Raw genomic sequence first — 13,444 nt, 5'->3', positions numbered from 1 at the left:
GAAGGCATCACTGAAAAAGCAAGAGCAAAGAAGGGACAGAGGTAATCTTTAGGATGGTATCTTCACCTCTAGTGAGTGATATGAAGACATTGTGTTAACGCCAGGAAGGAGTAATGAGTGTCTGAACTCAAACAGTCTGAGTCTTAGTACAAAGGAGGGGACGAAATGGGATTGATTCGGTTGAGAGAAGAAGTGAAGCTGGGAGAGAAAGAAGATTGGAAGATGACAACAAAGGCTTCAGGTTTGGGCAACTATGCATATGACGGGAAGCTTGGAAGAGAAAGTCTTGAAGATGACTAATGTTTCTGAGAAGAAAAAAATAGAAATAATGCATGGCTTTGTGTAAGTTGAGGAGTCATATTATGTGGGTGGAATCGAGAGGAAATGCAGCATTTTTTGGAAAAGGAAACGTTGAGAATAATTTAACCATAACTAGGATTGCTGGGAAACCATTGTCCTGTTTGATGAGTGTATATTTCTTTTTTTTTTTTTTTTTTGAGATGGAGTCTTGCGCTGTCACCCAGGCTGGAGTGCAGTGGTGTGATCTCGGCTCACTGCAAACTCTGCCTCTGGGTTCACGCCATTCTCCTGCCTCAGCCTCTGGACAAGCTGGGACTACAGGTGCCTGCCACCATGCCCAGATAATTTTTTGTATTTTTAGTGGAGACAGGGTTTCACCGTGTTAGCCAGAATGGTTTCAGTCTCCTGACCTTGTGATCAGCCCGCCTCATCCTCCCAAAGTGCTGGGATTATAGGTGTGAGCCACCGCGCCCGGCCTGGTGAGTGTATATTTCTAAGGGTAGATTATGGTTCCAGGATGAGGGCCATTAGGGTGAAATTAACAGAATGTGGCTGTAGAAAGTGAGGCAAATAACAGAAAATTTGAGCCACTCTTCTTCTACTTGGAAACTCCTAGCAGCCATCATTGACATTCACATTATTGAGTAACTACTATATAGACTACACTGGATTAGATGACTCTTCTGAGATGGAAAGGAAATGACTACTTTTTTTTGTTTGTTTGTTTTGTTTTGTTTTGTTTTTTTGAGACAGAGTCTCGCTCTGTCACCAGGCTGGAGCGCAGTGGCACAATCTCAGTTCACTGCAAGCTCCGCCTCCTAGGTTCAAGCAGTTCTCTTGCCTCAGCCTCCCAAGTAGCTGGGACTACAGGTGCATGCCACCACGCCAAGTTAATTTTTTTTTTTTTTTTTTTTGTATTTTAGTACAGACGGGGTTTCACCATGTCGCCCAGGCTGGTCTCAAACTCCTGACCTCATGATCCGCCTGCCTTGGCCTCCCAAAGTGCTAGGATTACAGGTGTGAGCCACCAAGCCCGGCTGGAAATGACCACTTTCTAATGAAGCCCTGAGTGAGCTGGCAGGAAGCTTTGCCATTGGATGCAGAATAAGAGGGGAAGGATTTTAGGACTAAGATAAATTGAGAAAGTGTTTATTCAAGACAGTTTGAATGCAATACATGCAAAGCAGAAAATCATAATTGCTAAGAAAAACTAATAAAGCTAAAAATAAATCATATCTAGCATCAGTCCAAAGTACAGGTCAACATGGCAGTCAAATCATTAGCCAGAAGAATCAGAAAGCAGAAAGCAATAAGAGTAAAAAATAGATTGAGGAGGCCGGGCACAGTGGCTCACGCCTGGAATCCCAACTCTTTGGGGCTGAGGTGAGTGGGGGAATGGCTTGAGACCAGCCTGGGCGACAGAGTAAAAGATGCCTCTGAAAGAAAAGATGGAAGAGAGTAGTTCAGGACTATGTCTTTGAATTTGGGTGAGGTGAACACTCCTCTTTTACGCCATGCCAGTGTAATGGTTGAGGTGTTTGGTGGCTTGATGGAATTATTCAGGCTGATCAAGAGTAAGGAGAAGAAAAGTAAAAGAATGGAGGCAGGAAAGTGTATGTAAAGAGGTTGTGCCTAATAAGCCTGTTAGCTGAAAGGGAAGCAAAGAGAGCCTGGAGGAGGGAGGTAGAGAGGAAAGGAAAGTATAACCAGGAAGTCAATTAGATTAGAGTAGCATGGTAGACTGGAAAAAATAATGAATTTTCTTATTTCAGTCTGCTTCATTCTGAAATTTCTTTTAGGAACATTCTGAACTCTGAAACACAGGAACAGGAACAGAGGAAGAGAATAGCACTACAATCCAGGATTGGACCTTAGAAAAAAATGAGTGAATCCCTATACTGACACAACTCCATTCCAGGTGCAGTTCTCTGGGGCTGCACCACTTTGTACTGAAACAAGAAGCAGCTAGCCAAACCTAACAGCCATAATACTCACTTACAAAATGACAAGGTTTATAAATAACCATAGCTGCTCCTTGTATGATGACAGAAGCCCCAAGTTTTGGGGAATGCCACCAGGTGGTAAACCTCTGAAATGCAAAGTGGAGTGGCCAGGTATCCCACATAATGCCCCCAAATCTGAGTTCTTGAGTACATGGCATTTCTCCACTAACTCAGGGTTCTGGCACCTAATTGGAGTGGAAACGAAGTTCCCAGATTCAAACTGGGACTTGCATTTTGCCATGATTTCTGCTAGGCCCATTTGTGCAAGGAAGACCCTATTGTCACAGTTCCTAAATTTATTTTTTAACTAATGTCTTTAAATTATTGTTAAAAGATATTTTTTAAAGGCAGAATAATGACTCATACAAATATAAAATAAACGTTGTCAAAATTTTACTTACTTTCTTATTTTTTTTTTGAGACAAGATCTGACTCTGTTGCTGAGCCTGGAGTGCAGTGGCATAATCAAGGCTCACTGCAGCCGCGACCTCCTGTGCTCAAGCAATCCTCCTGCCTCAGCCTTCCAAGTAGCTAGGACTACAGGTAGGTGCTGCTGCACCCAGCCAAATTTTTTTTTTGTAGGGACAGGGTCTTGCTGTGTTGCCCAGGCTGGTCTTGAACTCCTAGCCTCAAGTGATCCTGGCCTCCCAAAGTGCTGGGATTAGAGGTATGAGCCACTGTGCCCAGCCTTATTTTACTCTTATCCAAGGGACCAGTAAGTCATGACAACCAGTTCAAAGGAGAATTCTAAGAGCCATACACACACACATATATACAGACACTTAAGAATACTGAAATGAATTAACAAATAAAGTAAAACTGGCTTATTCCACATGGGACAGGGGTAGGGAAAACAATTGTCACTCCACTAGACAGAACTCGTTTGCACAACAGGAACAAGAATAATTTGCATCGCTAGTCATTGTCTAAATTTACAGTTATAAAATGGCTCAAAGATAATAAAAAGGCACAAACCTCATAGAATCAGATAACCTGGAGGTTATGTGCTAAATGAGGCCTAATTTTCCACTGAAGACACTCAGACATTGGAGTCTTTCCCAAATTTTCCCTACATGACCCACCTTTATATGATATCCTACTTTTCCTGCCTTATATTTTTAAAGCTGTCTTTGTTCTCATTGCCCAGATTACATATTTCTGAAATTTGATGCTTTCTGGAAACAATCTATCCTGGTTAGTCAGATTCTCTATAGAACTGCAGTTCTGTTGATTTTTATTTACTAATTCTTCCCATGTTACCTACAATGCCATTTGTTTTCTGGTTGTGAAACAGGAAAGTTTCCCTTGTCCCCCTCGCAGGGCATGCAATGGGGGTGCGGCTTACTTCTTCAGCGCCCCATTGCTCAAACCTCTAGGGGAGCACACAGACTGGCAGGCTGTGGGGCTCTGACCCCATGGCAGTGTCTAGGGGTGAATGTTTACAGCTGAAGCCCCAGTGGGCGTGTGTTACAGGGCGCTCTCTTAGTTTGCTGTCTATAGGCGGATTGTGTTAACCTTCTCAATTACACCCCTTTCCTTATCACAAGGACAGAGGGATTTCTGTATCACTGGGGTTTTTGCCTTGGTGTACCGGAAGAATCAGATCACATGTGGGCTTGGAGAATGAGTGCAAGGTTTTATTGAGTGAAAGTAGCTCTCAGCAGATCGGGGAGTCAGAAGGGAGACGGTTTTTCCCTGGAGTCCTGCCGCTGGACCCTTTTCCAACCGCTCTGGCCAAACTTCGTCTTCTGCTGGTTGATGGCCTGCTGGTGCCTGTCAGCATGCTCTTCTGCGGCGTGCTCTCCATGACCAGCTATTTGTGTCTTCTTCTGTCCAGCCACTTGTGTGTGTGTGCCTGCTAGGGTCTCAAGTTTTTATAGGCACAGAATGGGGCATGGCAGGCCAGGGTGGTCTTGGGAAATGCAACATTTAGGCTCCAAGGCAGGAGTGCCTGTCCTTCGCTAGGTCCTTGGGGGTGGATCCCTAGCCAGGGACCACGCCCTACTCTACCCAGCACTTCCCTTCCCCGCTTCCGCTTCCGTGTCATTTAAAGGGACGATGCTCTTCGCTTCTCAGCACTCCCATATCAGTTGTAATATGACAGGTGACAATGTTACAAGGCTGTGTAGCAAAATGTTTTCTGGAAGCTAGCACTGTCAAGGAGGAAACTATAGGAGGAAAGGTAGTTGTGGTAATAGAACAAATCTACTAGAAATAACTAACCATGTGGTCTAGGAGGAAAGGAAGGGGCAAAGGTCTGGGTGGAGTGAATGGGGTTTAGAGACAGTATATTAATATAAGAGTTAGCTACTTAGGAGTAAATAAGGAGGTCTGGTTGAGAGAAGAATAATGCACAAGCATTGTGACAGGGACAGTACAGCCCACTATGTAAAGGTCAAGGACACAGAATGCTATGGAGAAGTTGCAGAGAGATGGCCTTAGTTACAGAATTATGTAATATTTCCCCTGTCCACAGGCCAAATAAAACACAGAAGGTATACCCTTTGGCACCCTAGGCTTCTAGGTAAATAATATTTTTTCATAATGCATTGGATACCTACAAAGCTTTAGGAATTCAGAATAAATAAGGCTGAAATATCAAATTATATCAAATTATAATACTGTTTCTCAGCATGCATTCAACTTTCAGTTACAGTAGCTGCTTTGGAATAGATTTCCTCTTTTTTCTTTCTTTGCTATTTCAGATTTTGAATGTTTGAGCAGCAATCAAACCTAGAAAGCAACTCTCATGAACATTGTAGGCAGAACAAAGGCCTGAGGAACCACCTTAATCCTAGCTCCAGTTTGTGGGGGATCACCTTAAAGGTTCTTGCAATTTCGGCCAGGCATGGTGGCTCACGCCTGTAATCCCAGCACTTTGGGAGGCTGAGGTGAGTGGATCACCTGAGGTCAGGAGTTCAAGGCCAGCCTGACCAATATGGTGAAACCCCATCTCTACTACAAATACAAAAATTAGCCAGACGTGGTGGTGCACACCTGTAATTCTAGTTACTCAGGAGGCTGAGGCAGGAGAATTCCTTGAATTTGGGAGGCAGAAGTTGCAGTGAGCCGAGATTGTGCCATTGCACTGCAGCCTGGGTGACAAGAGCAAAACTCTGTCTCAAAAAAAAGAAAAGAAAAGAAAACTAGAGCTTTTCTCCAAATTATTACATTAATATAACTTTAGAATAGAAAACTGGAAAATACAGAAAAGTAGGAAGAAGAAAAAACTCACCCGAAGTCCTACCAATGACAACGTCTATTAATCTGATTGCATTTATTTCCTATTTCTTTAAATAAGATTAAAAATGGTTCTGACCCTACAGTATATATTTTACATCCTGCTTTTTTCAATAACATAAGATATTATATTAAAATTTACTAAAACTGGGTATTTACATGAATGAAAATTAATCTTGACCCACAACACACACCATTCACAAAAATTAATTCAAGGTAGCTCATAGCCCTAATACAAAAGCTAAGACTATGAAGTTAATCTATAGAAGCTAAACACTAAAGCTACAACTATAAACAAGAAAAGAGAGGAGAATATCTTTGCAATCTAGGCAAAGCTTTTTTAGAACAAAAAATGCTCTAACCAGAAAAGACAAAAAAAGATAGATTAGGTTCATCAAAATTACTTTTACTTTTTGCTCATCAGAAGATGCTATTAAACTGAAAAAATGCAACAGATTGGGGAAAATATTTGCAATTTATATATCTGACAAAGGATTTGTATCCAGAACGTATAAAGAATCCCTATAAAATTCAATACTAAAAGGACAAACAATCCAAGTTCATTGCCTAAATTCACATCAAGTAGGTGGTCAAGTGGTTGCAGGTATCTCTCAAAAGAGAGCTGGAAGGATTAGTTTGAAGCAGAAGCATCCTTGACAGAGAGGATTAGCTACAATCAGGGAAGGAAACAGGAGTGAGGGAGAGTCTCAAGACATAGTAAGCAACTAAAAAATCCAATAAATATAACTAAGAGTTGAATATACTTTACTTTGGCTAAGTGGTCTGTATCAGTCAGCTTTTGCCGCATAACAAACAACCACAAAATCTCAGTGGCATACAATGTCCATCTATTTCTCACATGTCTGAAGTTGGATGAAACAACTCTACTTCAGGACTTGGTAGCTGGGGTGGTCCTACTTCTTTGGATCATACTTCTTCAGATACACACTTCTTGAATCAGCCAAGGTGGCTGTGCCCCAGATGCTTCATTCTAGGGCTCAGAATGAAGACAGAGCAGCTTCCCTGGAGACATTCTGCTCATGGTGATATAAGAGGCACAAGAGAGCAAGCTTCACTACACAAACATATTTCAAGTTTTTCTTTGACACAGAAAGTTACATTGCTTGAGTCCGAAGTCAGTGTGAGAACTACCCATCTTTAGAGTGGTAGTTCCCAGCTAGAGGAGATTCTGTCCCCCACGGGAGGATATTGGCAATGTCTAGAGGCATTTTTGGTTGTCACAATCGCAGGTGGTGAGTAATATACTGATATCCATTAGGCAGAAGCCATGGATGCAGTTAAACATCCTACAATGCCCAGTACAGCTCTCCACATTAAAGAATTATCCAGCCCCAATGTCAATAGTGCTGAGACTAAGAAACCCTGCTTTAGAGGGAGAAACTGAAAAGTTAGGTGGCAAATGGCATGGATACAGGAAAAGATGAAGAATTTAGGCCTTTAATTCAGTCTACTGCAGATCTTAAATATGGATTCTTCTGTTAGAATTCTTCATTGAAATCTTGTAAATAATTAGCACTTAAAGATGATGATAATATGGAACTTTTAACCTAATCTTAACAGAAGTAAAACTAAAAGTATATTAACCTGGCCCTCTCAAAGCCCATCAGAACTTTGATTTTCTGATATTTTTCTCCATGCCTGAGCTCCCACATATCATGCACAAAGAGGAAGACTGTAGGTCCTGGGCACATCCAAGTGCAACAGTTGTTTGCGCTTGTATAATTGCAGCAGCAAAAGCATGTGTCATTGGAGAATGTTCACATTATCACTTCTAAAGCAGTTCCAAAAAAAGAAAACGTCAGAAAATATTCTCAATAAGTCAATCCCCATAACATTGCCCAATCTCAAAATCAATCGCTGTTAAGTAATAAGAGAGCAGACAGTCATGAGTCTCCCTGTGGACTGGGTGTCAGGCTAGAAGTGGTCGTTGTTCGCTATTTTGAAGGTTAAGAACAGTTCAGGGCCGGGCATGGTTGCTCATACCTATGATCCTAGCACTTTGGGAGGCTGAGGCAGGTGGATCACTTGAGCTCAGGAGTTCGAGAGCAGCCTGGGCAGCATGGTGAAACCCCATCCCTACAAAAAAAACACAAAATTTAGCTGGGTGTGGTGGCACGGGCCTGTAATCCCAGTTACTCGGGAGGCTGAGGCAGGAGAACGGCTTCAGCCCAGGAGGTGGAAGTTGCAGTGAGCCGTGATTGTGCCACTGCACTCCAGCCTGGGCAACAGAGACTCTGTCTCCAAAACAACAACAGCAAAAAAAAACAGTTCAGGGAAACACCCATGTAGGGAAAGGGCGGTCAAGTCCTTGATATGTGGTTTTGGCCATAAATGGTATTTCTAGTGGCTAAGATTTTATATGAGCCTGGACAACATAACAAGACCCCCCCAACTCTACAAAAATAAAAATTAAAAAATTAGCGCACACATGTAGTCCTAGCTCTTGGGAGGCTGAGGTGGGAGGATCACTTGAGCCCAGCAGGCTGAGGCTGCATTATTATGCTATGATCACATCACTGCACTCCAACCTGGGTAACAGAGCAAGAACTTGTCTCAAAAAAAAAAAAAAAAAAAAAAAAAGGACCATTTTGATGCCTTGCCTTTGAAGATTACCTTAGCAATTTCATCTCCCTGAAAAACAAAAACAGATCAGAAACAAAAAGGAAAAGGAACAAAGCTATCTCATAATATTACAAACCATTGTTGTGAAGCCACAGCATGTTCTGCTGACACCCATGTCATTCAGTTAGCACCACTTCCTTATAGGAAAGAGAAAGTGAATGTAAGACATGTGGTGCAAGGTTAAGGCTATAGATTTAAAGCAGAAGTCAGGATATTAATGAGTGAAAAATTCAGAATATACTAATACATGTAAGGTGGGATTTGGCTGATATGGGCCTTTACTGACTGTATTTGCCTTTCAGGAGTATATTGTTAGCCTGCAAACAACAGAATCCTTTCTAGCTAGTCTAAGAAAAAAATAAGGTGGAGAGATTCATTAAACAATAACTGATAGCTCACAGATTCTCTGGGAGGATCAGAGGCCAGACTCTGAGGCCACATAGCCAAACCCAGTGCCCAGACCACACTTTGGGTAAGGCGGGGGTGCGGGTGCTTTTGGGGGAATGTCACTGTCATTGTCATTAAACATCTATAATGCTCAGGATAAAGTACCAGAAGATCACTCCCGCTGTCTGTGACTATCTCGTCACACTGCCCTTGAAGAAATCCTGGTCTCATGTGGATACATATGATTCATAGAAAATAGGTCACATGATTGCACTATAACTACACAGGAATCTGAGCATGTGTAAGTTTTCTGGCTTCTACATTGAGAAGGTAGTACACACAATGTAGAAAATACAAAAATGAAGGCGAATCTTTGATGTTGTGTGGCCACTGAAGGAGAATATCCACTATAGGAAGAAAGAAGGAAAGTAAATAGTAACCAGGGTTCCGTACCCTGAACTGGCAGACATGGTTAAGCCTTCAGCTTAGTAGGACTGCAACACAGGCTGCTGCAGATCTGGAAGATGAGATGCTGCAGGATTCTTGTTGACCTCACTAAACTTCTTGACTCTCCGTTTCCTTGTCAAGACAGCTGGGCACTCTTCAGGATCTGTGGATACTTCAGGGGTTCACAATCGCAGTCTAGTCTTTAAGAAGGTAATAGTTTCTTTGAAATTATTTATTTTGTTTCTGTAAAATGACTGTCCTAATGTTTGAAATTTATGTTTTTAGCTAAAAGCTTTGGTCTCCTGATAAAATTACGTCCCAAAAAGGGTAAATACTCTGTGGCTGTCATTTATACCCAAATGTAGATGACTTAAAGATCCTTTCCTGCAAGCTTGCCCCTTTCCTTTAAGTTGGATGTTCTGTTACTTGCAACTGAAAGCATTAAAACTGATTGAGTACCACTTTCAAGCCATCAGTAACTCAAAAATACATCATCTTAAAATAAGAACAAGTGGTTCTTATTTTAAGACTGGGGGCTGTGCCGTGCCATCCTGTTCAACTACCAGGAACAGGTTCCCCAACCTGCTGTAAGACCTCAGCTGTCATCCCTCTTTGGGAAGTTCTTTGACTATGAAGATCTGCCTCAACCAAAGTCACACTCCCTTCCCTGGATGCAGCCCACACAGAATGGCTGGTCAGCATGAGCACATAAAGGCTGGGCTACCTATCCCCTACTCAGGATAACCCTCAATGACCATGCCAGCATGAGAGCTTCTCATGTAGTCAGCTGGGGCTTTTGTTGTGATTACATCACAGCTCATCTTCCCCATCTGTCCAATCCTGCCTCCTTCCCTTCCACAATTGTGGATTCCAAGGGCACCCCCTAATATACTTCCTCATGCCAATCTTCACTGCAGTCTGCGTCCTGGTAAACTTTACCTATGGTAAGTGGTATTTATTAGTTAGGATTAAGTTCAGATGCAGGTGATCAACAACCAACACAATAATGGTTCAGGTAGCACAGACATTTATTCCCCCCAAATCAAAGTCCATATCAGAGATCTAGAGGTAGTATGGTGCATCATGGTTTGGTGCAGAGATCAAGTTCTCTCTATCTTCTTGCTCCTTTTGTAGACATTTGACTTCATGGTCCAAGATGGACCACGTTCAGTATCCACATTCTGAACAACAAGATGGAGGAAGAAACAAGAAGAAGCAAAGAGCGCACTTGTGCTGTTTCTAAAAGACTCTCCCATGAGTTGAAGGGCCAAGAGAAAAACTTGCGTTTCTGTTAAAACTTCAGCAGGCATTTATTATGTCTTCAATTGTTTTCGTTTTCTTTGCCTTATGATAATCAGGCCATACTTGGACCTGCTTTGACATCCTCATTGAACTTATGCTTACTAGAGTGGCTCCCCTCAGTTCCCACTCATTCTGCCTGAGCCAAATTCCTGTTTCCTATACCTGCCCACCATTTGCTTGGCCCCAGGGTTATGCCTAGCACTTAAATTCACCACAAACATCCCTTGATACCGTACATCAGAAACAAAATGTGACCTACAGCAAACCTAATGATTATAAATTGCTCTTTTCCGATCCTCCCATTTTATTGCTTCCCACTCCCCAAAAAAAGGACTTTAACCAAGTTGCCAATTCATCAGCAATTTATTTTTTTCCATAAAGTCACCAAGCTGCCAAAACATTCAGTTTGGCCATTTAAAATCATTTGAAATAATGGCTTTACATTTTTGGAATTTATTTGTTTATATATTTATATTTCATTGGTGCAAAAGTGCTTTCAAAGCAGGGATTGCTCTCACTGGTTGAGGACATATCTTGACTCCCTAACGTTTTCACTGGAAGTTGACAGAGATGATATTTAAAATGTATAACAAGTGAGAGCATAGGCACAGACCAGTCAGGATGGATGCCAATCACAGGTAAACCATGGGGCTATTCCAGTATACATTAGCAGCATCTTGGTCCTGGCAGTGACCATCTGTAAAATAAGAACAATAAAGTCCTACCTTCAGAGAATTTATTGTGAGCATTAGAGAAGATAATTCATGTGAAGGATCTGGCATAATATCTGACACATTGCAAAAAGTCCAAGCTACCTTTATTTTCTTAGTTAGCAGATATGCTTATTTTCTTGAGCTCTTTGGCAAAATTTTTGTAAACTTTATCGAGCAGAATGTCCAATGTTACTTTTCATAATTCCCTTTTGAGTTCAGTTCCTGGTCATCTGATAAACAAAGATAAGTTTTAGTTGCTCTGGATGTTTGGTAAGCTAAATTTAAGGTTTGGTTATGAAGACTATGCTAGCCTTCTTTGGATATAATTGTTGCCTCTTTCCCTAAGATATTTAAGTTTTTATTCTGATAGCATAGTGGTTAAAAACACAGGCTATGAAAGCTAAGTAGGTTTGTAGCCCATCTCTCCCAGTTCCTAGCTATGAAAACTTGGGCCAGTTGCTCCACCCTTCTAAGCCTCATTTCTCTCATTTGTCCAATAGGTATAATACAATGCTGCTACCTTGTAGATTCAACAATATACTTTAGAACATCTAAAACATCTTTCTACCTAGCAGAAAGAAAAACCACTCAGTCAGCATTAGCTATTCTTATTTTGTTGTTAACTATCTGTATCTCTTTTCTGAAGTAAAGGCAGTATCAGTCATAAACTTAAACTATGAAGAGGCCATTAAAGGAGTTTTCATTAATCTTTTCATTATACAGGGTTCTGATTTTTTAAAGGTCTTTAGTTTCTATACATAAAATACTTGTATTTATTTACAGCAGTTGTATAAACAAGGATTCAAAAATACTTATACTACACTCAGATGTGTAGAGAACATGTACAGTAATATCTTTTTCGGTGAATAATGAATCAGATTCCCTTCATGTGCTCCCACTTGTCAGGTATTGTGGGGAAGAGGAACCACTAACTGTTATGCCACTCCAATAAACTTAATCTACTGAAATAATTTAAATAACCCTTTAGATAAGCACTAAATCTCTTTTAGTAGTTTAGTCTCTCAAATTTTCACCACCTTCTTCCAGAGCCTCTCTTTTTTGTCATCTGGGTTCATAGAACAAGGGCAATAGCTGAGTGTTCAATGACAGCAGAGGTGACATGAAGTCCTCAAATCCTTGTGATGGCATCTGGGCCACTGCTTGTCTTTGCCATTGAGTGGCTATTCCCCAGTGCTCCCTGGTGAGTGCTCAAGGGTGACTGGCCCCATCCCTGTGCCTTCTCCTGGCCAGTGCTGCTGAAGTGCAGTGTGGTACCTCAGCTTCTTCAGAACCAGGTTATGCTCTTCCAGATGGCTCAGCCTTGACTTGGCTTTCAACTGATGCTGAAGACTCCTCTAAGACACTGCCTTTCCCTATCCAGCCCTGAGCTATGATGCCTACCTAAGCTGTGCCATTTTTACCATAGCAGACCCCATAGCAGGCCCACCTTCCTCATGCCCCTTCAGCAATATACAGGGATTTTCATCTTTGCCATCTAGAAACCAAGGACAACTCAGGAAAACTTAACTCAGGCCCAAACGCTATGCAATCACGCTGTGCCACAGAGATCTCTGCTGTGGCTGCTCCCAGTTGGTATAGAAGCTCCCTCTGGAGCCCCAAATGTGGAACAAGGCAATGCCCCTCAACATGAATGCTCTCATTCTGGTCAAAGCTCAGAGAGTGGACACTAGGCCACTTGATCCTCACCCTTCATCTCTCTTCAATCTGTTTCCCTTCTTCCCCACAATCCCGTGGAACCCAAAAGGGCAACATTCATGCTTTCCACTTCCTTTAAGTCACATCCTCCCTTGCAGACTCCAGCCTCATGGTGGAATCTTAATGGTAGACAAGATATGGGAGAAAAAAAATCGGCTTACTAATTAGATGATTTTTAAATGACTGCATTACTAATTGGCTTATAGGTATTTTTGGTTTAAATAAAACTGTATTGCATTACCATTAATAAATTGTTTATTTTATACAACAGGATAAAGTACTACTCTTGTATTGATAGAGAGTAAGTTGCAATTCCTACTTGTCCTTGTAAAAGTAAAAATAGGTCTTCCTTAGTTATTCTGCTAAAAGTAAAAAATGAGGGGTTTTCTGAATGCTAAGAAGGGTCAATTTAAAGGCGTTTTTTTTTCTCTCATGGTTAGAGCAGATATGGAGGCATTCATGGATTAAAAAGCCTTTCTATCTGACCTTTTCAAAAATACTAAATTCCATGGACATGCATTTATAACAACCGAAAAGTTCTTTTGTCAATGAACATATAATGGATTTCTCAAAACAAATATCTTCAAGTGGGTCATAGTTACTAAAAATAAACTAATTAAGTCTTCTGTTTTTAAAACCATGAAGAGTTTACAAGGATAATAGGAAAGACCAGCTTTCTTCCTGACCCTTTTG

The 13,444-nt window shown here is 41.4% G+C and overlaps 1 long non-coding RNA gene across 1 annotated transcript, besides 2 other annotated features; it reads left to right on the top strand.

Moving 5' to 3' along the window:
* Nucleotides 8,125-8,184: an enhancer, noted in NCBI's record as "active region_28183". NCBI's record gives its function as "activates an Ori minimal core promoter by ATAC-STARR-seq in GM12878 lymphoblastoid cells {active_cell/tissue: GM12878}" and the evidence as "EXISTENCE:reporter gene assay evidence [ECO:0000049][PMID:35858748]".
* Nucleotides 8,195-8,244: an enhancer, noted in NCBI's record as "active region_28182". NCBI's record gives its function as "activates an Ori minimal core promoter by ATAC-STARR-seq in GM12878 lymphoblastoid cells {active_cell/tissue: GM12878}" and the evidence as "EXISTENCE:reporter gene assay evidence [ECO:0000049][PMID:35858748]".
* Nucleotides 9,092-12,998, top strand: LOC124902116 (uncharacterized). The gene is made up of 2 exons (XR_007061410.1): nucleotides 9,092-9,230; nucleotides 10,155-12,998. It is a non-coding gene; the product is annotated as an uncharacterized LOC124902116 (long non-coding RNA).
* Nucleotides 12,999-13,444: the final 446 nt, after the last annotated feature.

This window comes from Homo sapiens, chromosome 9, assembly GCF_000001405.40.
Source record: "Homo sapiens chromosome 9, GRCh38.p14 Primary Assembly".
Classification (NCBI taxonomy): domain Eukaryota; kingdom Metazoa; phylum Chordata; class Mammalia; order Primates; family Hominidae; genus Homo; species Homo sapiens.
Note: the sequence above shows the minus strand (reverse complement) of the source record. Positions and strands in the feature narration are given on the sequence as shown.